We start from the raw sequence: 23,224 nt of genomic DNA, 5'->3' as shown, positions 1-23,224 counted from the left end.
CCATATCTGGCTAATTTTTAATTTTTAAATTTTTTTGTGTGTGCTATCTAATAAATCTTTGCCTGCCTCAAAATCAGAAGGATTTTCTCTTATGTTTTCTTCTAAAAGTGTTACACTGTTAGCTTTTTTTTACATTTACGTCTGTGATTGATTTCAAAAAAACACTTATGTGTGATGAGAGGTAGGGGTCAAGGCTCATTGTTGATATATATCTAATTGTTCTAGCACCATTTGTTGAAAAAAATTATCTTTAATCCTTTGAGTTAACTTGGTACTTGTCAAAAAACAGTTGCTTATATATATGTGAGTTTTTATTTTCTGAACTATTCTGTTCCATTGATCTATATATATAGATTTATGCCAATACCATACTGTTTAGTTATTGTAGCCTTATAGCAAATTTTAAAGTCAGGTAGTATAAGTCATCCAATTTTGTTTTTCTTTTTTTCAAAAATCTTTTGGCTATTCTAAGTCATTTGCTTTTCTGTACAAATTTTAAAATCAGCTTGCCAATTTCTTTAAAAAAAAAAAGCCAGCTAGGATTTTGATTGAGATTGAAATAAATGCATAGATCAATTTGGAAAGAATTGACATCTTGACAATATTTAAGTCTTTGAATCCATGGACACAGTGTTTATCTGTCCATTTATTTAGATCTTTTAAAGTTTTGTCAGCAATGTTTTCTGGTTTTCATTTATTGTACATGTGTTGTGCATATTTTGTTAAATTTACCCCTTTGTATTTCATTTTTTGTATGCTACTGTTAATGGTATTGCTTTTTAAAATTTAATTTTCCAACAGTTTGTTGCTAATATAAATACAATTGATTTTTAAAATACTGACCTAGTATCTTGTGGCGTTGCTAAATGTACTTATTAGTTCTAATAGCCTTTTATAGATTCCTTAGGAATTTTTACATACATAATCATGGTGTCTGTAAATAAAGATGGTTCTATCTCTTCCTTTCCATGCTGTATGCCTTTTATTTTCTCTCTTGCTCCTCTTTTTCCTCCTCTTCCTCCTTCTTTTTTTAGTTTGTGACCTTATTGCAGTGACAAAGACCCTCAGTACAATATTGAATAGAAGGGGTGAGTGTGGACATACTTGGCTTGTTCATTATTGGGAGAAGGAGAAGTCAGTCTCTCACCATTCAGTATAATGTTTGCTGTAGATTTTCAATAGATGGCCTTTATCAGGCAGAAGAATGTCCAGAACTGTGAAGAGTGTGAGCTTTTATATTACTTTCAAGCTAACAGGCTAGCCTGCAATAGTTTCATGGATGCTGGAAAGAGACATCAGACTTCTGGGTCAAAGACCAAAGAATTTATTATAGCTCAGCAAGCAACATCAGCTTTATGATCACATTGGCTCTCATCACTCCTTTGGGGTTATGCTGAGTAGCCCAGGGGGATGCTGCTTAGGAAATCTAAATATTTTATAAAGGGTACAAGCAAACTTGTCCAACCTTTGCCCCAGAGTAAGCCATTATCTTTATGATACTGGACAGCAAACAAACTTGTCCTCTTCTCTGAAGAGAGATACTATATCTACTTTTCATGGCTGCTCACTATACAAACATTCTTGAAAAGATAGTCTGGAAAAAAACACTGTCAGTGCCTCTGTTTGCAAGACATGCAAAAATGAATGACACTCTCCTTTGCACTCATTAGGATGATTATTATGAAAATAAAACACATAAAAACAGAAATTAAGTGTTAGAGAGGATACGGAGAAAGTAGAACACTTGTGCATTGCTGGTGGGAATATAAAGCGTCTAACTGCTGTGGAAAGCAGTTTGGTGGGTCCTCGGAAAGTTGGACACAGAATTCCCATATGATTCAGCAATTCTACTTCTAGGTATCCTAACAAATTGAAAGCAGGGACTCCAGCAGTCACTTATACATCAATGTTAATAGCAGCATTAGAGACAAAAGGTGAAAACAACCCAAATGTTCATCAACAGAAGAATGGATGAACAAAATATATTGTACACAAACAATGGTGTTTTATTTAGCCTAAAAAGAAATAAAATTTTGACACATGCTACCACATGGATGAAACCTGAAAACTTTATGCCAAGTGAAAATAAGCCAGACACAAAAGGGAAGTTATTGTATGATTGATTGCATGTATAATGAGGTACCTAGAATAGGCAAACTCATGGAGACAAACAATAAAAAGAGGTTACAGGAGTGGGGCAGGGAATGGAGAGTTATTGTTTAATGAATACAGTTTCTGTTTGGGATGATGAAAATGTTCTGGAAATGGGTATTTGTGATGGTTGCATTACATCATGAATGTACTTAATGTTACTGAAGTGTACACTTCAAGACGATTAAAATTTTATGTTACGTATTTTGCTAGAATTAAAAAATTGCAAAAAAAATACATCCGTAGAAAATTGTCTTCCAATAAAAGCACCTCCTTTAATTTCTGGTTTGGTTAGAATTTTTATTATGAATGATACTGAATTTTGTTAAAAGCTTTTCTATCTATTGAAATGGTCGTATTTTTTCTTCTGCCGACACCAGCTCAGTTGTGGAGACCCTAAACCAGAGGCGCTAGAGGAATTAAAGACACACACACAGAAATCCAGCATGTGGGGTGGGAAATCAGGGGTCTCACAGCCTTCAGAACTGACAGCCCCAAACAGAGATTTGCCCACATATTTATTGACAGCAAGCCAGTGATAAGCATTGTTTCTATAGATTACAGATTAACTAAAAGCATTTCTTAGGGGAAATAAAGGGATGGGCCGAAACAAAGGGATGGGTCTGGCTAGACCCATCTGCAGCAGGAACGTATCCTTAAGGCACAGATCACTCATTCTATTCTTTGTGGTTCAGGAATGCCTTTAAGTGGTTTTCTGCCCTGGGTGGCCCAGGTTTTCCTTGCCCTCATTCTGGTAAACCCACAACCTTCAGTGTGGGCGTCATGGCCATCACAAACATGTCACAGTGCTGCAGAGATTTTGTTTATGGCCAGTTTTGGGGCCAGTTTATGGCCAGATTTGGGGGCCTGTTCCCAACATGTCTCCCTTTTTTGTTTTGCAAAGCGATAAAAGCAAAGGCAGCTTTGTCAAGGTGAGCTGCTTCTCACAGGAGTCAGGATCTGCATCTGCAGACTATACAAAGACAAACAACACAGATTAAAAGCACAGTCATCATTGAAATCACAGACCTTCCAAGTGTTTTTATCCATTTCCTTTAAGCACTCCAGTTCCTGGCATTAAGGTCAGGTGTGCCTGGGATGCTTTAAATATTAGTTTTTTTAAATTTTGCAATATCCAAAGACAAGTCTGTAGAGTGTCCTTCTAGATGCTTTTTTATTCTTTCCCAAATTTTGATCTTATTAAGAGCCATTAAGAGTTTCCACAAATCCTTATGTTTAGCTCCTACAGCAGGCCGTATTATTTGAGGTTGAGGTGCCACTATACTGCCATGTTTCCACAAAATAGGAACTCTTGCCATACTTCTTACCATTTCTACCATCTGACCGTTTTGTTCAGACCCGCTGAACATAGTGTGGCCATGGCATGCAGACTGAATGGTGCAATTTAAGCTAAATATCCCCTTAGGGGACCAATCAAAAATGATACCATAGGAATCGTTGAGCAGAACCTCTGCCTGTTCTGCAATGCAATCTTCCTAAACAAGTATGTTCATTTTTTCTGGCCAGGTCCAATTCTGTTTACAAATAGGTTTTTGAGGGCAGTATGCCTCAATTATAGGAGCAGATTTATTATGATAAATGCTGAGATCAGAAAGCATGTGTAAATGTGTCATAGAGTGATTATATCCAGGCATTATTGCCAGCCAAGATTGATAAATATGCCCAATAAGTATAATTGTTCTCTGTGTCAGCTGAGGAATACTCTCAGCAATGGTGATCATCGCTATCATAGCTATCATTAAATTACTCATTGTGACTGGTTGTCCCGCTTTCCTCAGGTTTTCTTCCACCATCTGTGACAGCTTCTTGATCTGTCCCCAAGTAGGTGGCTGTGTTCAATGGGTGTTGCTCGTGACAGTTGGGGTCCTCCTCAGCATCAGTCTCAACATGGCTGCAACCAACCGGGGGGACCTCAGGATCCTCCTGGAATCTCTTCTTCAGCATCTAGTTCATGATAAGGTTTCAGGCATCTTGATGGTATCCAAATCAGCTGTTGATTCGGTCCTGGAGAAACACAAGCATAACCTCTATCCCAAGTTATTATTTTACCTATTTCCCAACTTTTTGTTATTGGATCTCTCCACCAAACAAGTTGTTCTGCTTCTGTCTTTGCAGCTGGTTTCTGTAGATGTTGTTCAGCTGCTGACAACATCTGGGCTTTAGGCAGGCTCAAAAACTTTAAAGTTAATAATGCTAGATTCAATTGTATATGGGCTGTCCCGTAATCCCTGTTTCCCCCTTTCTGTTTTTGCAACTGCTGTTTCAGGGAGAGATTCATTTGTTCTACAGTGGCTTGTCCTTGAGAATTATATGGGATGCCAGTAATGTGTTTACTATTCTTTACCATTACTAGACCCATCTGTAAAAACATTCTCAGCACCTTCAATTGGTTTAAATTTAGTTATTCTAGGGAGGATCCAATCAGTTAATTTCAAAAATTGAAACGGTTTCATTTTAGGAAAATGATTATCAAGAATATCCACAAAGTCAGCTAAATGGGTTTGCCAAGTAAGACTGTTTATAAAAGCTTACTGTATTTGTGCCCTTGTGAGAGGGACATTAATTTTTCCAGGATCATATCCATGTCATTTAACAATCCTAGTTCTCCCATTACCTATCATAGTAGCAATTTGATCCAAATAAGGAGTTAGAGTCCATGAATTAGTATGTGGAAGAAAAAGCCATTCTACTAAGTCCTGCTCTTGGACAATAACACCAGTAGGTGAATGGTGAGTTGGAAAAATTAGCAAATCTAGAGTCTTCTCTGGATCTATTCTATTTATTTGAGCCTTATGGACTTGCTTTTAAATCAGCTGTAACTCTGCCTTAGCTTCTTTTGTTAATTGCCGAGGGCTAGTGAGACTAGTATCTCCTCTAAGAATAGAAAATAGATTACTCATGGCATAGGTAGGAATGCCTACAGCAGGTTGTATCCAATTAATGTCCCCTAGTAATTTTTGAAAGTCATTTAATGTTTTCAATTGATCCCTATGTACGGTTACTTTCTGTGGCACAATGGTAGTGTCATTTACTAAGGTCCCCAAGTAGGAGTAAGGAGTAGTAGTCCGAATTTTGTCAGGAGCTATAATTAAATCAGTGCAAGAAATCGAATTTTGCAAGTGATCATAACATTGGAGTAATATTTCTAGAGTGGGGGCAGCACAAAGTATATTGTCCACATAATGAATAATGTAACACTGTGAAAATTTTTTACAAGTAGGTTCAATTGCTTGTCCTACATAAGTCTGGCAAATTGTTGGACTGTTTAACATGCCTTGTGGGACACTTTCCAATGAAAACACTTAGCAGGCTGCAGGTCGTTTACTGCAGGAATTGTAAATGCAAACCATTGACAGTCTTGCTCAGCTAAGGGGATAGTAAAGAAACAGTGTTTTAAATCTATGATGATTAAAGGCCAATTTTTTGGAATCATAGCAGGGGAAGGCAATCCTGGCTGTAATGTCCCCATAGGTTGTATAACCGAGTTAATGGCTCTAAGATCTGTCAACATTCTCCATTTACCTGATTTTTTCTTAATTACGAAAACTGGAGAATTCCAAGAGGAAAATGTTGTAGCTATGTGTCCTTTTTCTAACTGTTCAGTAATTAAGTCTTCTAAAGCCTCCAGTTTCTCTTTGCTTAGTGGCCATTGTTCTATCCAAATTGGCTTATCTGTTAACCATTTTAAAGGTATAGGTTCTGGAGGCTTAACAATGGCCACCATCAAAAATGATAACATAAACCTTAGTGGGAACTTTGTCTTTCTGCCTGAAGCAGTTCCTTCAAACCTTGCAAATTTTTTCCTAGTCCCATACCAGGGACATACCCCATTTCATGTCATATGTTGACTTTGAGGGCTGTATAATTGTTCAGGAATTAGACCTTGTGCTCCCCATTGTTGTAATAAATCTCTCCCCCATAAATTTATAGGTACAGAAGTTATAATTGGTTGAATAGTCCCAGATTGTCCATCGGGACTTTCACAACACAAAATATAACTACTTTGATATACTTCAGGGGCTTTACCAACTCCAACCATATTACATTGAGTGGATTGAATTGGCCACGTGGACAGCCAGTGCTGTAGAGAAATGATTGAAATGTCTGCTCCTGTATCTACCAAACCTTTAAATTTCTTTCCATAAATAGTTATTTCACAGGTAGGACGTTTATCAGTAATTTGATTTACCCAGTAAGCTGCTTTGCCTTGTTTATTTGTGCTTCCAAATCCTCCTGTTCATTTAATTTCACTTTTCCCCATTCCCACATATGGCACAATCAGGAGCTGTGCTATGCGCTCTCCTGGCTCTGCTTTCCAGGGAACAGAAGTAGATATCACAATTTGAATTTCCCCATTGTAATCTGAATAAATGACTCCTGTATGTATTTGTACTCCTTTTAAATTCAAACTAGACCTTCCTAGAAGTAATCCTATCGTCCCCACTGGCAAGGGTCCACAGACTCCTGGTGGGACCTTTTGTGGGGGTTCCCCAGGCAGAAGGCTCACTGCTTTTGTGTAGCATAAATCTACTGCAGCACTACCGGCTGTGTCAGGGGACAGACATTGTACAGGGGTGAGGAAATGGCCTGAGCCGGAAATGCCCCGGTTTGGAACAGGGCATGGGACGGGCCCCTCATGGCATTTCCCAAAATCAGGTTCCCTTCTTTATCAAACTTAGAATGACACTGACTAGCCCAATGTTTTCCTTTTTTACATTTTGGACATATTTCAGGCTCAGCAGTTTTCTTTTTTCCCCTATCTGGTGGCCTGACTTGCTGATTTTTTCTACATTCTTTTTTAGCATGACCATGCTTCCCACAGTTAAAACAAGCTCCAGGAAATGGAGTATTTCCTTTGTCCACTCTCAGTCCTGCCATTGCCTGGGCTAGCAGAGTGGCCTTATGCAGATTACCTCCGCTACCGTCACAGGCCTTGATATAATCAACTAAATGTGCTTTCCGTCTAATAGGTCACACAGCAGCCTGGCAATCAGGATTAGCATTGTCGAAAGCTAATAACCGCAACACTATATCCTGAGCAGCCAAATCTACAATCACCTTTTTTTTATTTTATTTTTTTGAGACGGAGTCTCACTCTGTTCCCCAGGCTGGAGTGCAGTGGCATGATCCCAGCTCACTGCAAGCTCCTGGTTTCACACCATTCTCCTGTCTCAGCCTCCCCAGTAGCTGGGACTACAGGCGCCTGCCACCACATCCGGCTAATTTTTTTGGATTTTTAGTAGAGATGGGCTTTCACCATGTTAGCCAGGATGGTCTTGATCTCCTGACCTCGTGATCCGCCCATCTCGGCCTCCCAAAGTGCTGGGATTAGGGGCGTGAGCCACTGAGCCCCCATGCTGCCTGCAATCACCTTTTTAAGAGACTCCTGTAACCGAGCTAATTTAAAAGGAAAAGGCTCAAATGTAGCTTTAATATTTCCCTGTTGATCTGGGGGGTGTATTCTAACAGGGAACTGCCAAACCTCTAAATCACCCTCTCTTCTAGCTTGCTGGATTCCTGCCTGAGTAGAACTGAGAGTGGTCGCTCAAGGTGCTGCTCGAACAGTCACTGGGGCAACTACTTTTCGCCCAGTGTCCTCTGGAAAAGAAAGATCTGGAGGGTCAGGCCACTCTTTTTCTTCAAAATAAGGAGGGGGTGCAGAAGGGTAGGGATGAACCTCTCCCTCCTTTGCCACTTTAGCTTTAGCTGGCAAACAAACCTGCTCTGTTACTTCGTTATACTCTCCTTCCTCCTCATCATCAGTGTGAAAAGGTTCCAAGGTGGAACGAACCAGAGCCCACACTTGTCCCATTGTTACCCTGATGCTTCCGAGCTCCCCTTGATGCTTCCGAGCTCCCCTTCTTACTCACCACAGGAATTGCTTTAAGAGTACTCGAGTGTCCTCCAGCTTAGTTTCACGTTCTCCAACTGTCGCTCTGGCGACCCTTCAACCTGGGTTCGAGCCCTACGTATGGGCGCCACTTGCCGAGACCAGCTCAGTCAGGGAGACCCTAACCCAGCAGCACTAGAGGAATTAAAGACACACACACAGAAATATAGCATGTGGAGTGGGAAATCAGGGGTCTCACAGCCTTCAGAGCTGAGAGCCCCAAACAAAGATTTGCCCACATATTTATTGACAGCAAGCCAGTGATAAGCATTGTTTCTATAGATTAACTAAAAGCATTTCTTAGGGGAAATAAAGGGATGGGCCAAAACAAAGGGATGGGTCTGGCTAGTTATCTGCAGCAGGAACATGTCCTTAAGGCACAGATCGCTCATTCTGTTCTTTGCGGTTCAGGAACTCCTTTAAGTGGTTTTGTGCCCTGGATGGGCCAGGTGTTCCTTGCCCTCATTCCAGTAAACCCACAACCTTCAGTGTGGGCGTCATGGCCATCACGAACATGTCACAGTGCTGCAGAGATTTTGTTTATGGCCAGTTTTGGGGGCCTGTTCCCAACATTCTTCTTCTTGCCTCTGTTGATATGATGAATTATAATGATGATTTTTAGTATTGAACCAACTTGCACTCCTAGGGCCGGCCCCATTGGTTATTGTCTCTTTTTTACACTACTGAATTTTATTTGATGATATTTTGTTAAGAATTTTTGTGTCTATATTCTTGACGAATATTGGTCTGTAGTTTTTTGGTAATGTCTTTTTTTTTTCCTGTGAGACTGTCTCACTCTATCACCCAGGCTAGAGTGCAGTGGTGTGATCTCGGCTCACTGCAGCCTCTGCCTCCCAGGTTCAAATGATTCTCCTGCCTCAGCCTCCCAAGTACCTAGGATTACAGGCACGTGCCACCACTCCCGGCTAATATTTGTATTTTTAGTAGAGACGGGGTTTCGCCATATTTGTCAGGCTAGTCTTGAACTCCTGACCTCAAGTAATCCACCCACCTCGACCTCCCAAAGTGCTGGGATCACAGGCATGAGCCACTGCACCCAGCAGGTAATGTCTTTACTCAGTTTTAATATTAGGTTAATGCTAAACCTATAGCCTCATAAAGCAAGTTATGAAATATTTTCTTGTCTTCTTTTTTTTTATTGCTTTTAAGGAGTTTGGGTATAATGGTATTATTTCTTCCTTAAATAATAAATGTAATTCATGTGAAGCCATGTGAACTTGGAGTTTGCTTTCAGTTTTTTTTTTTTTTTACTGGACTTTTTAAAGAGTCATTTTAGAGTTAAAAAAATTGAGCAAATAATACAGATACTTTCCATATACCCTCTGCCCTGCACAGTTTTCCCTGCTGCTAACCTCTTATACTAGTATGATACATTTGTTACAATTAATGAACTGCTATTGATACATTATTATTAACACAAGTTTATATTTTATTTAGGTATTCTTAGTTTTTAAACTAATACCATTTTTTCTATTCCAGGACCCCATTCAGGATGCATCCCATTAAGTTGCTGTGTCTCTTTAGGGTCCTTTTGGTTATGAAAGTTTCTCAGACTCTGATTGTTTTCAGTGATCTTGACAGCTTTGAGGAATACTGGTCAGGCTTGTTGTAGGATGCCAAACTACTAGAATTTGTCTGATTTCTTTTTAAAAATTAGGCTATGAGTTTTGGGAGGCAGATCACAGAGGGAAAGTCCATTTCTATATAATATCAAGAACACGTGCTATCAACGTCAGTCATGATTGCTGATGTTGACCTAGCATGCCTGACTGAAGTAGTGTCTGTCAGGTTTCTCCACCATGAAGGTACTACCCGCATCACTGTCCCTTCCACACTAAACTCTGGAAGGAAGCCCTTATGCAAACCCACATTTAAGAAATGGGAAGTTATGCTTCCTCCTTTAGGGTGGAGTAGCTGCATAATTTATGTGGAATTGTTCTGCATGGGAGATTTGTCTCTTTTCCCTCATGTATTAACATATTCAATCATTTATTTGTATCAGTATGGACTCATAGATATTTTATACATTAAGATATAAGACTACAATTGTTTTTTTTTGTTTGTTTTTTTTTTTTTTGAGATGGAATCTCGCTCTGGAAGGTGGAATTTAGCCCAGGCTGGAGTGCAGTGGCATGATCTCGGCTCACTGCAACCCCCAGTTCAAGCAATTCTCCTGCCTCAGCCTCCTGAGTAGCTGGGATTACAGGCACGCGCCACCATGCCCAGCTAATTTTTGTGTTTTTAGTAGAGACGGGGTTTCACCATGTTGGCCAGGATGGTCTTGAACTCCTGACCTCGTGATCTGCCCTCCTCGGCCTCCCAAAGTGCTGGGATTACAGGTGTGAGCCACCGCACCTGGCCAAGACTACATTTTTATTTTGGTGCTCATATTGTTCTAGCTTTGGCCATTGGAAGTATTTTCAAGTGCCAGTTGTTTTAGGTTTTGTTTTTTAATTAATAGACTTTATTTTTTTAGAGGAGTTTTAGGTTTACAGAAAAATTGGGTGGAAAGTACCAAGAGGTCTCTTATACCCTCCTTTGTGCCCCCACCACAGCCCCAGTTTCTCCTATTATTAATGTCTTGCATTAGTGTGGTACACTTATTACAATGGATGAGCCAATATTAATACATCACTAGTAACTAAAATCCGTAGTTTACATTAGGTTTCACTCTGTCTGGTTTTAATTTCTGTGGGTTTTGACAAATGTATAATGATATATATACACCATTACAGTATCATGAAGCATAGTTTTACTGCCCTAAAAAGCCCATGCTCCCCCACAACCCCTGGTAACTACTGATCTTTTTACTGTCTCCACAGTTTTGTTTTTTCTAGAATGTCATATACAGCCATGAGCTGCATAATGATGTTTCGGTCAAAGGCCAGGACAGACCACATAGACAACAGCAGTCCCATAAGATCATAATGAAGATGAAAAATTCCTATCACCTAGTGATGCCTTAGCCCTCATATTATCATATTATATATATTGTGTTTATGGTGATGCTGGTATAAACAAACCTACTGCACTACCAGTCATATAAAAGTATAGCACATACAATAAGGTACAGTACAGGATACTTGAAAATAAATGACTATGCTATTGGTTTATATATTTACTATACTTTTTACCATTATTTTACAGTATACTCCTATTAAAAAAAAGAAAAGCTAACTGTAAAACAAACTCAGGTCCTTCAGGAGATATTCCAGAAAAAGGCATTGCTATCATTGGAGATAATAGCGCCATACATATTTTTGCCCCTGAAGACCTTCCAGTGGGACAAGATGTGGAGGTGGAAGACAGTAATACTGATGATCTTGACCCTGTGTGGGCCTAGGATAATGTGTGTGTTTGTGTCTTAGTTTTTAAGAAAAATGTTTAAAAAGTAAAAAGAAAAATTTGAATAGAACAAAGCTTATAAGATATGAAGAATAAATATTTTGGTACAGCTGTACAACGTGTTTGTGTTTTAAGCTGTGTTATTACAAAAGAGTCAAAAAGTTAAAAAAAATTAAAGTTTATAAAGTTACAGTAAGCTAATGTTTATTGTTGAAGAAAAAATTTTAAAATGAATTTAGTATAGCCTAAGAGTACAGTGTTTAAAAAGTCTACAGTAGTGTACAGTAATGTCCTAGGCCTTCACATTCACTCACCACTCACACTCACTGACTCACCCAGAGCAACTTCCAGTCCTGCAAGCTCCATTCATGGTAAGTGCCCTATACAGGTGTAGCATTTTTTATCTTTTATACTGTGTTTTTACTGTACCTTTTCTATGTTTAGATATGGTTAAGATACACAAATACCATTGCATTACCACTGTCTACAGTATTTGGGACAGTAACATGTTGCATAGATTTGTAGCCTGAGCTATAGGCTATCTACTATATAGTCTAGTTGTGTCGTAGGCCATACCATCTAAGTTTGTGTAAGTACACCCTATGATGTTCCCACAGTAAGAAAACAGCCTGATACTTTTCTCAGAAGGTATTCCTGTTGCTAAGCGATACAAGATCGTAGTTGGAATCACAGAAATGAGCCTTCTAAGGCTCAGTAAGTGAACCTTTCAACTAAGTCAAAGATTGGCTTCTTTCACTTAGTAATATGTGTTTAAATTTCCATCATAGCTTGATATCTCATTTTTTTGTTTTTCTTATTTGTGGTAAAATATATATAACATTTACTATTTTTGTGTGTACAGTTCAATAGTGTTAAGTACATTCACACTGTTGTGAAAACAATCTCTAGAACTCTTTCATTTTGCAAAACACAAATTCCATGCCCATTAAACAACTTCTCATTCCCCTCTTCTTCCAGCCCCTGGCAAACATCTTTCTACTTTCTGTCTCTATCAGTTTGACTACTGTAAGTACCATACAGTATCCTTCTTTTTCTGACTGGCTTATTTCACTCAGAATAACGTCCTCAAGTTTCATCCATGTTGTAGCTTGCGTCAAAATTCCCTTCCCTTTTGAGGTGAAATAATAATCCATTGTCTGCATGTGCCATATTTTATTCATTCATCTATCGATGAACATTTGTGAACCTTCCACCTTTTGGCTATTGTGAATAATGCTGCTCTAAACATGGGTAGACAAACACCTCTTTGAGAACCTGCTTTCAATTCTTTTGGGTATGTGCCCAGAAGTAAATCTGCTGGTCTATTTTTAATTTCTTGAGGAACTTCCATACTGCTTTTCAGTGACTGCACTATTTTGAATTCCATACTGCTTTCCATAGTGGCTGCACAAGTGTTCCAATCCTTGCCAACACTCGTCACTTAGTTTTGGTGGCGTTTTTAACCTTTTAATAGTAGCCATTCTAATGGATACGAGGTGGTATCTCATTGTGATTTTTATTTGCATTTCCCTAGTAATTAGTGATGTCGAGGATATTTTCATGTTCTTTTTGGCCATTTGTATATCTTCTTTGGGATGTCGATAGCTTTTAAAAAAAATTGCTGTATAATAGTCTGCTGTCTGGATGTACCAGTTTATACATTTGCCTACTGACAGACATCTTATTTGCTTCCAAGTTTTGGCAATTATGAACAACGCTGCTGTAACAATTGTGTGCAGGTTTTTGTTTAGACATGTTTTCAACTCATTTGGGTAAATATCAATGAGTGTGATCTGTTTATCTTTTCTGGTGAGGTGTCCGTTCAGGTATTTAGCCCATTTTTAGATTGGGTTTTCTTATTGTTGCATTTTAATTCACCGAAGTTGTTGAACTTATTGGCATAAAGCTCTTGATGACTTTTTTTTTTTTTTTTTTTTTTTTTTTTTTTTTTGAGATGCAGTCTCACTCCGTTGTGTAGGCTGGAGTGCAGTGGTGGGATCTCAGGTCACTGCAACCTCCGCCTCCTGGGTTCAAGCATTTCTCATCCCTCAGCCTCCTGGGTAGATGGGATTACAGGCGTTCGCCACTATACCTGGCTAATTTTCGTATTTTTAGTAGAGACGGGGTTTCATTATGTTGGCCAGGCTCGTTTCATATTCTACTCCATTTTTCCCAGTTATATTTCAAAATATTTCAGATACATGTAAATTAATAGGAAAAGAAGTTTAACTTTAGGAAGATAGTAATTTAATTAATGTCATTTTAGCTTTCAGTAATTAACATCTAAAAACCATAAAAAATACTTTTAAAAAAATTGAAATTAAACTGCATTTTTCATTTCCTTGACTCCAATTTGAATGGAAAGTGTGTGTAGAAGTATAGCCATCACATCTGCCCTACCATCCTTCTCCTGTCCCACCCTATCCTACAAAAGATCAGAGAAAGCACAAAAAAAGTTATAAAACAAAATTTATTATGCAATACTTTCTCATAATGAATTGCATCTCTTTGGTAAAAATAAACTTTATAAACATTTTAATAATCAGAGATTAGATACAAAAACTAAGTATTTGTAAGTTGTTTTTAATATGAGCAAAGATTGGCAACTGAGAAGTGGTTCACTTGTGACTGGTCATCTACTGGCAGTTATAACTCAAACCGGGACAATTTTTATGCTACATCAGAAAAGAGGATAAGGAAACAGTTTGATAACAAATTTGTTGAATCAGAAAGCATTCTTACACTTTCATTTAAAAATAAATAATAGTTACAATCAATTGGCAATTATACATTTTTATACACTATATGATGGCAACATAATACTTTAAAATTAAGCACTTAGTTTAATAAGAAATGTACAACGATTTAAAAAATAAGTTTTGACAATGGCACTGGCAGTTAGATGCAAAGAATATGCTTTAAGAAAAAAAATGGCAGGTATAACATTAAAATACTCGAATTCACCTTTCAATAAATATTTTTACTACATCATTAACATACTGAAGTAAACTTGGTTTAAATCAAAGCTTACACATTTCAAACTAAAAAAAAAAAAAAATACAAAAAAACACCTGTAAGATATATGTAAACCAGAAAGCCTCACAGTTTCTTAGATAAATGCTGTGATCTTCACAAAAGGGTGTTAAGTTGTTGTAGTATTTAAGACAATGGTCTTTACAGCTTTGTGAAGTATTCACATCTGTTGCTTAAATTGCTGGCAAAGGCCTCCTGGTCTACCAAGACATATACATTCCCTCCTTAACACATTCTCTAGTTTGACTTTGTGCTAAAGTATATTTAACTGAACATCTAGTATGAGCCCTTTACATAATGCCTCAGAAAGTAGCAAAAAGAAAAAAATATATATATACTAAACTTTACTATATACAAAGGAATCCAAGTTAAAAGAAGTCATGCTGGCTATGAGGACAGGAAAGGCTTGAAGGTGGAAAAAGGGAGGTGATCCACCTTTTCCATGAATTCAGGTAATCTGTTTTCTTTCTCTGAATTTGGAAAAGTAAAATAATAACTGATTTAGTAATATATTGCACAAAAAAACTTCAAAAATATATATTCAAGAAACAGTGATTCTGTTTGGGATGTGAAGATGAACAATTGTGTTGAATCAAAGCTTTTTACTAGGGATCTATTATAAACTGGAATCAGCTGCAACAAAACATATTCTTTTGACGTAAGGCAAATTATATGTTAGCTTATATCACAGTTTTTAGGATATGTTGGAAAACATGTAACCTCCTTGGAGTTTCTAAGTTGACTTTATTACAGGAAAATTTGTATATTATAGGGAATACAATTTCCAGGCCATAGGACTTGGAATGACTCTACTTAATTGTGTGGTTATTAGTCATGTTTCTCAAAACACCTGAGGAATGAGAGCATACTCTCAGTGGAAGTAGTAAATGGAGGACCATAATTTAAAAGGTTCTTCCCTTGAAAATAACTGACTTGGTATGTTAGCAAGTGGAAGGTGATGCATTAAATTATGTTTAAGAAACTGTAAAATATTGTGTAACCTCTCCCTGTTAGCTTTCAGTGCACAAGTGTTTATCATCCTTGCTAGTGATGAATATAACTTAAACATTTAAATTCGTGGGAAGAGTGAATAAAAAGGAAGAGAAAAATCAAAAGATGTAAAGAATTACTGTTACATACATCAAGACAAAATAACTTTGAAGATCCCTATTAGAGCTGGAACTAACTCTGCTTCTCTTTCCTTTCCTTATAAAGAGTAATTATCTAATGGACAAAAACCAGGTAGCACATTTGTGATACAGAATTTCAGCAGAACAAAATAAACTGGTGCCAGATCACTGAAACACTGTTCCTAAGGTCTATACAGAGGCTATGGTAAATAACTTAAAAATAGTTATTAAGATGATGTGTATAATCTATTATTTATACTGTGGTTAAAGCATTTTTGGGTTTTTGGTGTTTTATTCACTGTCTATAATAAAAGTTAACTTGGTTTAGCCATTTTCTGTAGATGTGATCGATCTAAAAAAAAAACCCAAATACCTCATCCTGCATGCTTAAGGGTTTTCATTATTAACAAATTTAAAAATTACTATATTTTGACAGCACCAATTCATTAATGTGGCTATCCAGGTTAAATTAAATTTAACATGGAAACAGAACAGAGAACATTAATACTGTTATCCCTGACTTAAAGTCTTGTCAATTGAAAAAAAAGTTTTTAAAATCATTTTTCTCATTTGACAGTTTTGCCAAAATAAAAATTAAAAGTTAAAATTTGTCTCTTAAAAAATGCTTTATAATCACAGAAACAGCTGAAAGCAAATCAACATCATGACCTTGACTGTGCATATGTGTATATGTATGTGTACATATGTATACAATCTATCAGAATAATGAAAACAAGGTCATTGTCTATGACTTAGGATGTAGCATAAGACTGAACTTTCAGAAAGTTGCTTCCACCATTGTAAAAAAAAGATACAATGAATTAGTTTAGCATCCTATTGTTTCTGAATAATCTAATCAAATTATACAAATGATACTATGAAAAACTGTCTCATATAAGCAGACTGTTCAAATAGTTAAGATACTTAGTCAAAGCACTTTTGGAGTAGTACCAGAAAATCTTTTTCTCATGGATCAATGGCACTATAGGTTGTTACACTGCCTCCTCAAAAAGGTGTATTGCATAAGATCAAATTTTATATGAATTTTGAAATTCATGAAGGTATTGTGTCTGTAAAATTGCATTAAATCTATTAAGATTTAATTTGGTATACTTATGAATTTAATTCATACAAAGCTTGGACAGAAGTTTTTTCCTAAATGACCTACTTTATGTATGATAACATGCCATCAGTACTCAAAATGTTTCATTTCACTCCATTCCGATTATAAGATTCTCATAATACAGTACACATGGCAGGCAAATGAAAGATTCTCTTATTACAAGTGTGTCAAAATGGGTGTACTCCATAACACACTTAATTGGCTATATCCTCTCACTGGATAACTTATACTCAACAAAGGCAGCTAGTGGCTAAAACTTAATGTTTGCAAAGCACTTTGGGAAAGAATAAAAGGCCCCAATAAATGCTATGCAGGATCTCTGAAGTAAAAACACTTCAAAGCTACCATTCTAATAGGAATTGGGAGTGTTCTTGGATGAAATGACACCACAAAATTGTCTTTTCTAAGTCTTAGAACTCTTTGTTGTATTCTCTACCTACGTAACCAAAAGAAACTTTCTAAACATCAGGATGTTTTTCAATTTATGTTTGTCTTTGCTCACACGACAACAAAAAAAAAATTAGAAACAAATTAAGACAAAGTAAAAAAATTTCAATCTTATGTTACCGGATTGCGTGTCAGGAGAGAAGTATATGAAAAATACATCAGCAAAATTTTTAGCTGGTTCAGTAACTATAGTTACAGATTGGAAAAGAAAATGAAAAAAATTTATCGAGTTGCCAAATCTTACATTCTGACATATTAACAGAAGAAAGGATTTTTGTCCCACAAGTTTAAGACAGAGGCTGGGGATTTTCTTATATAAAAATTTTCAAATCTTGGACACATTTATCACAAAAATTATGCTTTTAGGACTTCACATCATGTATTTCTGATCAGGCATGATCCTAACAGCAATTGTTTAATAAAAATTTTAAAAACCAAAAACCAAAAATGTTTTGAAAGAAATAAGTAATTAGTATCCCTTCCCTACCCTAAAACTAATGAAGTCCATTATGGCTTTGATATCCCTTGTAAAGAATTAAGTGAAAGAGTATTGCCACACTTTAAGTATTTCTATTTTTTCCGTTGCTTTTGATTTTGTGTCTTTGCAGTACTTATTAGGGAACCTAAACATGTACGAATTCCAGCAAGGTGGAGCAGAGATCCAGCTGCCTCTTTGAGCTCCTCATCAATTTCTTGACATGTCTGTTTTCGCATCTTTTTGCCTGACTGCCCTTTTTCAGAGATTTTTGCACAAGGCTGTGATGCATAGCCACTGTCTCCAAGAGGATCATCTTCATAATCAACGTCTGTATCTTCTTCACTGTGAAATCCTTCACTGCCATCACTTCCCACGTGACTATTCTTTGGGATAAATTCATATACCTCATCCACAGAAGACAGGGAAGACACGCTAGACCTGGATGCACAACGCTGTGCTGCCATGCTACTTGCACTGTAATTGTGATCTTCTTTTGGATCAATGCTGGTGGCTAAAGAATCACTCTCTTGTAATCGTACAGCACTGGGATGATGAAATGCATTGCCGTAACTCCTCTTTTTTTGCAATGCTGTTTTAAGAGGAAGAGGCTTCTCACCTGTGGAAAATAAAAGTTCCATCAATAGGTCAAATGTGTTTGGTTGCAAAAACAGACCAATTTTAAACTACTACATTACTCTTGAGCAACAAATGTTTTAGATTCATGATGCTTTGTAGATTTTTTATTTTTTTTTACCCAGATCACATCATTTTGCAAGCATTAATTTGAAACATTTAAAAACCATTTAACAATGTCTTGACTTTTCTATAGCATATGTAACTATTTTGAATTGCTTACAAGGAATGCCTCAATATGAATGTACCACTGTTTAGCTAATCACTTCCGTGTTAATATTTAGGCTGTTTCCAATTTTTCATTAGTATAAATCATGCTGCAATACAAATCCTTCTGGATGCCTTTTCTTGAATATATGCAAGTAATTTTTAAAAAGAGATATGAAAAAATTGCTAAGGGATATATACATTTAAAATTATAATTGGTATTCTCAAATTGCCCTCCAAAGTGGTTGTACCAATTTACTCCCAACAGTGTATGACAAAACTTACTCCCTACTTAACACCATTCTCAATTACTTAAATTTTTTATAATTTTATGGACAAAAAAGTTACCTCAATATTATTTCATTTTGTGTTTCCCGAATTTCTAGCGAAGTTACACATCTTTTCACATGTGTATTGCCCACATATATTTCCTCTTCTAAGATCCACCTAGTCATATATTTTGCTGACTTTCCGGTTGAACTGTTTTCTTATTTCTTACTTGCAGAATCCTTTTTATGTATATACTTGATACTAATCCTTTGTTATATATGGAAAAAACATGTCTCCAGCATTTTATGTCACTTTTCTTAGATATATTTTGTTGTCAGAATGCTTTTTTTTTTTTGGAGACAGAGTCTCACTCTGTCCCTCAGACTGGAGTGCAGTGCTCTCCAGCTCACTGCAGTGCTCATGGCTCACTGCAACCCCCACCTCCCAGGTTCAAGCAATTCTCCCACCTCAGCCTCCTGAGTAGCTGGGACTACAGGCATGCACCACCACATCTGGCTAATTTTTGTATTTCTTGTAGAGATGGAGTTTTGCCATGTTGCCCAGGCTGATCTGGAACTCCTGGTCTCAAGTGATCCACCTGCCTTGTTCTCCCAAAAGTGCTAGGATTACAGACGTGAGCCACCATGCCTGACCAGAATGCTAAAATTTTGATGTTTTATTAAATTTACCCATTTTTTTCCTTCATGGATTTTGCATTTTGTATCTTAAAGAAAGCTTTTCCTAGTCCAAGTTCATAAATATACTTTACTTATTATATTTTCTTGTTTATAGTTTTCATTTTTACTTTTAGCTCTTTGAGTTCATTTTCTAAATATATTTTTCTTCATTTCTTGGTCAATGTAAGAAAAATCGAAGCATTAACTTCAATCTCTCAATTGCTCACATAAATTAATGAAAGTATAATAAAACAGAAACTGAGTTACTCAGATCAAAATACAATTTGGTTGGAAAGAAGTAATTTTTGTCTGTAATAGTTATTTTATAGTCTAGGTTAAATTTGAAAAGGCACTAAAATTTTTTTTTAAAAAAGGCATGATTACTTACATTCTAAAATTCCTTGTTCTATAGAAGTATTTAAAAGCATCATTGCAGCAGCAGCATCAATATCAGATTCTGAAAAGGGAAAAAGTAATAATATTAATGTTCTTTATAAAGGAGAGGCTATTCTAAGTATTTGCATGCCCCTGAAGATAACCAGCGTTACAATTTTGGTGTATATTCTAAGAAAGCATAAACGCACATCAAACAAAAATGAGATATTATATATTATTCTGAAGTCTGATTTTGTTCACTTAAAATCACGAAACAGTTTTGTGAACAATACAGTGTAAAAGAGATGGAGAGATACCAGAAATAATGCAAGTTCTCTTCTTTAATTATTCACAATGAAAACGAAAACTTAAACTGTATTTCAGTAAGGTTTCCCCTTAAACAGATTAAATTAGCTAAGAATGTACATCGTTACTCCTTTTTTTTTTTTTTGCATTTTTACTTGAATACTATCATTACCTATGCATATCTGCAGTTATGAAGTACTATGTTAATTACATGCCAGTTACAGGAGATAAAAATATGTAATTCGTCAGTCTAGGTCATGTAAACCTATAAATGCTAAGTGAATAATTATGCAGAAACAAAAATAATTATTATTGTTTTTAGTCATGATTATACACAAGCCTACATGTACGACAAATTTATATAATATTCATGAAGTCAAATGGATACTCCATTAAAAATGGGCTTTAAAAGACTGGCAAAATCAGCAGGTTCTACAACAGATAAAGTTATGCTCTCATACCTACTTATATTTACTGCTGTAAGTTCTTCATCTTGGTGATATACTAGTCTGAATAACTAAAGAAAAGTAAAATGGTATAATCTAAATTACACCATTAATAATTAGAAAAGTTAGAAAATGTTTATAAATTTTAGCTTACAAAAAGACATTTAAAATAAGACTCAGATATGAAATTTCTAATCTATATCTCAAAGGTGGAAATTTTTATTACCATAAAGATTTCCTATTTACTTTCAATGTCTAATTTAAAAGTTATTGTAGATAATAAAGCCATGAAGATAATGACTTGTTTTCTCTCCAACTAGACCATAAACTCTCTTAAGGTAGGAAATGCTGTTGTTATTGATAACACTAACAGGCTTAAGTAAATCAGATGCTGGCCACTATGAAACAGCACATAATACTTTACCTCTTTTTCCCCAAGTAAAATGTGACCTCATGATCCACAGCTAATATCTTACTGAATGGGGAAAAGCTGAAAGCGTTTCCCCTAAGAACTGAAACAAGAAAAGGATGCTCACTTGCACCACTCTTAGTCAACATAGTACTGGAAGCCCTAGCCAGAGCAATTAGGTAAGAGAAAGAAATAAAAGGCATCTATGTTGGAAGAGAGGAAGTCAAACGTCCCTGTTTGCAGACAACATGATCTTATATATAGAAAAAACTAAAGATTCTACCAAAAAACTCTTAGAACTGATAGTCAGTAAAGTTGCAAGATACAAAATTAATACACAAAAGTCAGTAATATCTCTACACACAAAACAACAAACTAGCTGAAAAAGAAATCAAGATGGCAATCTCATTCACAATAGCTACAAAAAATAAAATTAAAATACCTACAAAAAAATTGAAGACAATACAAACAGACATCCCATACTCATGGATAGGAAAAATTAGTATTGTTAAAATGACAATACTACCTCCAAAGCAATCTATAAATTCTATCAAAATACCAATGATATCCTTCACGGAAATATAAAATAATCCTGAAAGTTGTATGGAACTACAAAAGACCCCAAATAGGCAAAAGAATCTTGAGCAAAAAGAACAAAACTGGAGGCAAAATACAAACAGACCTCAAAATATACTACAAAGCTGTAGTAACCAAAAAAGCAAGGTACTGGCATAAAAATAAGACACATAGACCAATGGAACAGAATAGAGAACCTGGACATTAATTGACATATTTACAGCCAACTATTTTTTTTTTTGGAGACAGTCTTGCCCTGCCACCCAGGCTGGAAGGCAGAGGAGTGTTCTCGGGTCACTGCAACCTCCATCTCCCAGGTTCAAGCGATTCTTGTGCTCAGTCTCCTGAACAGCTAGGATTACAGAGGCGTGCCACCACACTCAGCTAATTTTTGTGTTTTTAGTAGAGATGGAATTTCACCATGTTGGCCAGGCTGGTCTCAAACTCCTGGCCTCAAGTGATCTGCCTGCCTCGGCCTCCCAAAGTCCTGGGATTATAGGCATGAGCCACCGCGCCCCACCCCCTCCGCCAGTGGACTGATTTTTGACAAAGGTGCCAAGAATACTAACTGGGGGAAAGACAGTTTCTTCAATAAATGATACAAAAGAAATTGGATATATATCTACAGGCAGAAGAATGAAACGAGACTCCCACTTGTCACCCTATACAAAAATCAGCTCAAAATGGATCAAAGACCTAAATGTAAGAACTGAAACGATAAAACTACCAGGAGAAAACAAAGATGAAACACTTCAGGACATTGGTCTGGGAAAAGATTTTATGAATGAGACCTCAAAAACATAGGTAACAAAAGCAAAAATAAACGTAATTATATCAAACTAAAAAGCTTCTGCACAGGAAAGAAACAACAGTGAAATGACAACCTACAGAATGAATAAAATATATGCAAACTACTCATCTGACAGGGGATTAACATCTACAATATAAAAGGAACTCAAGCATCTCAACAGGAAAACAAACAAACCAAAATCCTCTAATTTAAAAATGGGCAAATGATCAGAACAGACATTGCTCAAAAGAAGACATACAAATGGTCAAGAAATTTAAAAAAATTAAGAGGAAAGGGAAATAGAGTGTTGGGGAAAGTGGTTACAATTTTAAATATAGAGGTCAGAGAAATCCTGAAGGAGAAGGTAGGCTACAGTTGGGCAAAGACCTCAGGGAGAGAAAGAATGATATCTGAGGGAAAAGAGTACTGGGCAGAAAGAAGAGCAAGTACAAAGGATTTGAATCAATGATGCCCACATGCCACATCCAAGAGGCTAGCAAAAACAATGACCTCTCCAATTCCTGTCTTTTAGGATGAAGCCTGAGGCAATTCTTTTTGAGTTCAGTATTCTAACACGTCTGAAGAAGAAAAGTTGCAGCCGCTAGCCCATATTGTGTCTCTGTGTGAGTTGGAAAAAAGGCAAATCTTCCTCCAGGTGAATGGTTCCCTATTCAAGGCACACAGCTAGACGAATGGAATGTGGGCTGAATTTCAGGCCCCACTCACTGCCTTAAGCCAGGTGGACTTGCAGAGGGCACAACTTGCATGGCATTATGCAAAAGCCCCAACAGAGAGATTACTTCTCCATAAACTAATTTTTCTTTTTTTTTTTCTTTTCTTTTTTTGAGATACAAGGTCTCCCTCTGTCACTCAGGCTGGAGTGTAGTGACACAATT

At 36.6% G+C, this 23,224-nt stretch overlaps 1 protein-coding gene across 24 annotated transcripts in view, besides 1 other annotated feature; it reads right to left on the bottom strand.

The window, feature by feature from the left end:
- Window positions 2,868–3,007: a silencer, noted in NCBI's record as "fragment chr2:48617307-48617446 (GRCh37/hg19 assembly coordinates)". NCBI's record gives its function as "represses an EF-1alpha promoter that drives an FKBP-Casp9 reporter gene in an ReSE screen in phorbol 12-myristate 13-acetate-treated (for megakaryocytic differentiation) K562 erythroleukemia cells {active_cell/tissue: K562(+PMA)}" and the evidence as "EXISTENCE:reporter gene assay evidence [ECO:0000049][PMID:32094911]".
- The window catches only part of FOXN2 (forkhead box N2), a 65,637-nt gene continuing 56,292 nt past the window's right edge, over window positions 13,880–23,224 (bottom strand). For all 24 annotated transcript variants that reach the window (NR_164686.1, NR_164691.1, XM_047444107.1 and 21 more), the window contains 2 exons: window positions 19,815–19,883; window positions 13,880–18,255 (listed from right to left, as the gene is read on the bottom strand). Coding sequence is in view for 22 of the 24 variants with exons in the window: in XM_047444107.1 (XP_047300063.1) it covers window positions 17,732–18,255; window positions 19,815–19,883 (593 nt within the window). In the remaining 2 variants the exon portion in view is untranslated. The remainder of the gene's footprint in view (window positions 18,256–19,814; window positions 19,884–23,224) is intronic.

Source organism: Homo sapiens, chromosome 2 (assembly GCF_000001405.40).
Source record: "Homo sapiens chromosome 2, GRCh38.p14 Primary Assembly".
Taxonomy (NCBI): Eukaryota; Metazoa; Chordata; class Mammalia; order Primates; family Hominidae; genus Homo; species Homo sapiens.
The sequence above is the reverse complement of the archived record's forward strand: the minus strand, read 5'-3'. Positions and strand labels throughout refer to the sequence as shown.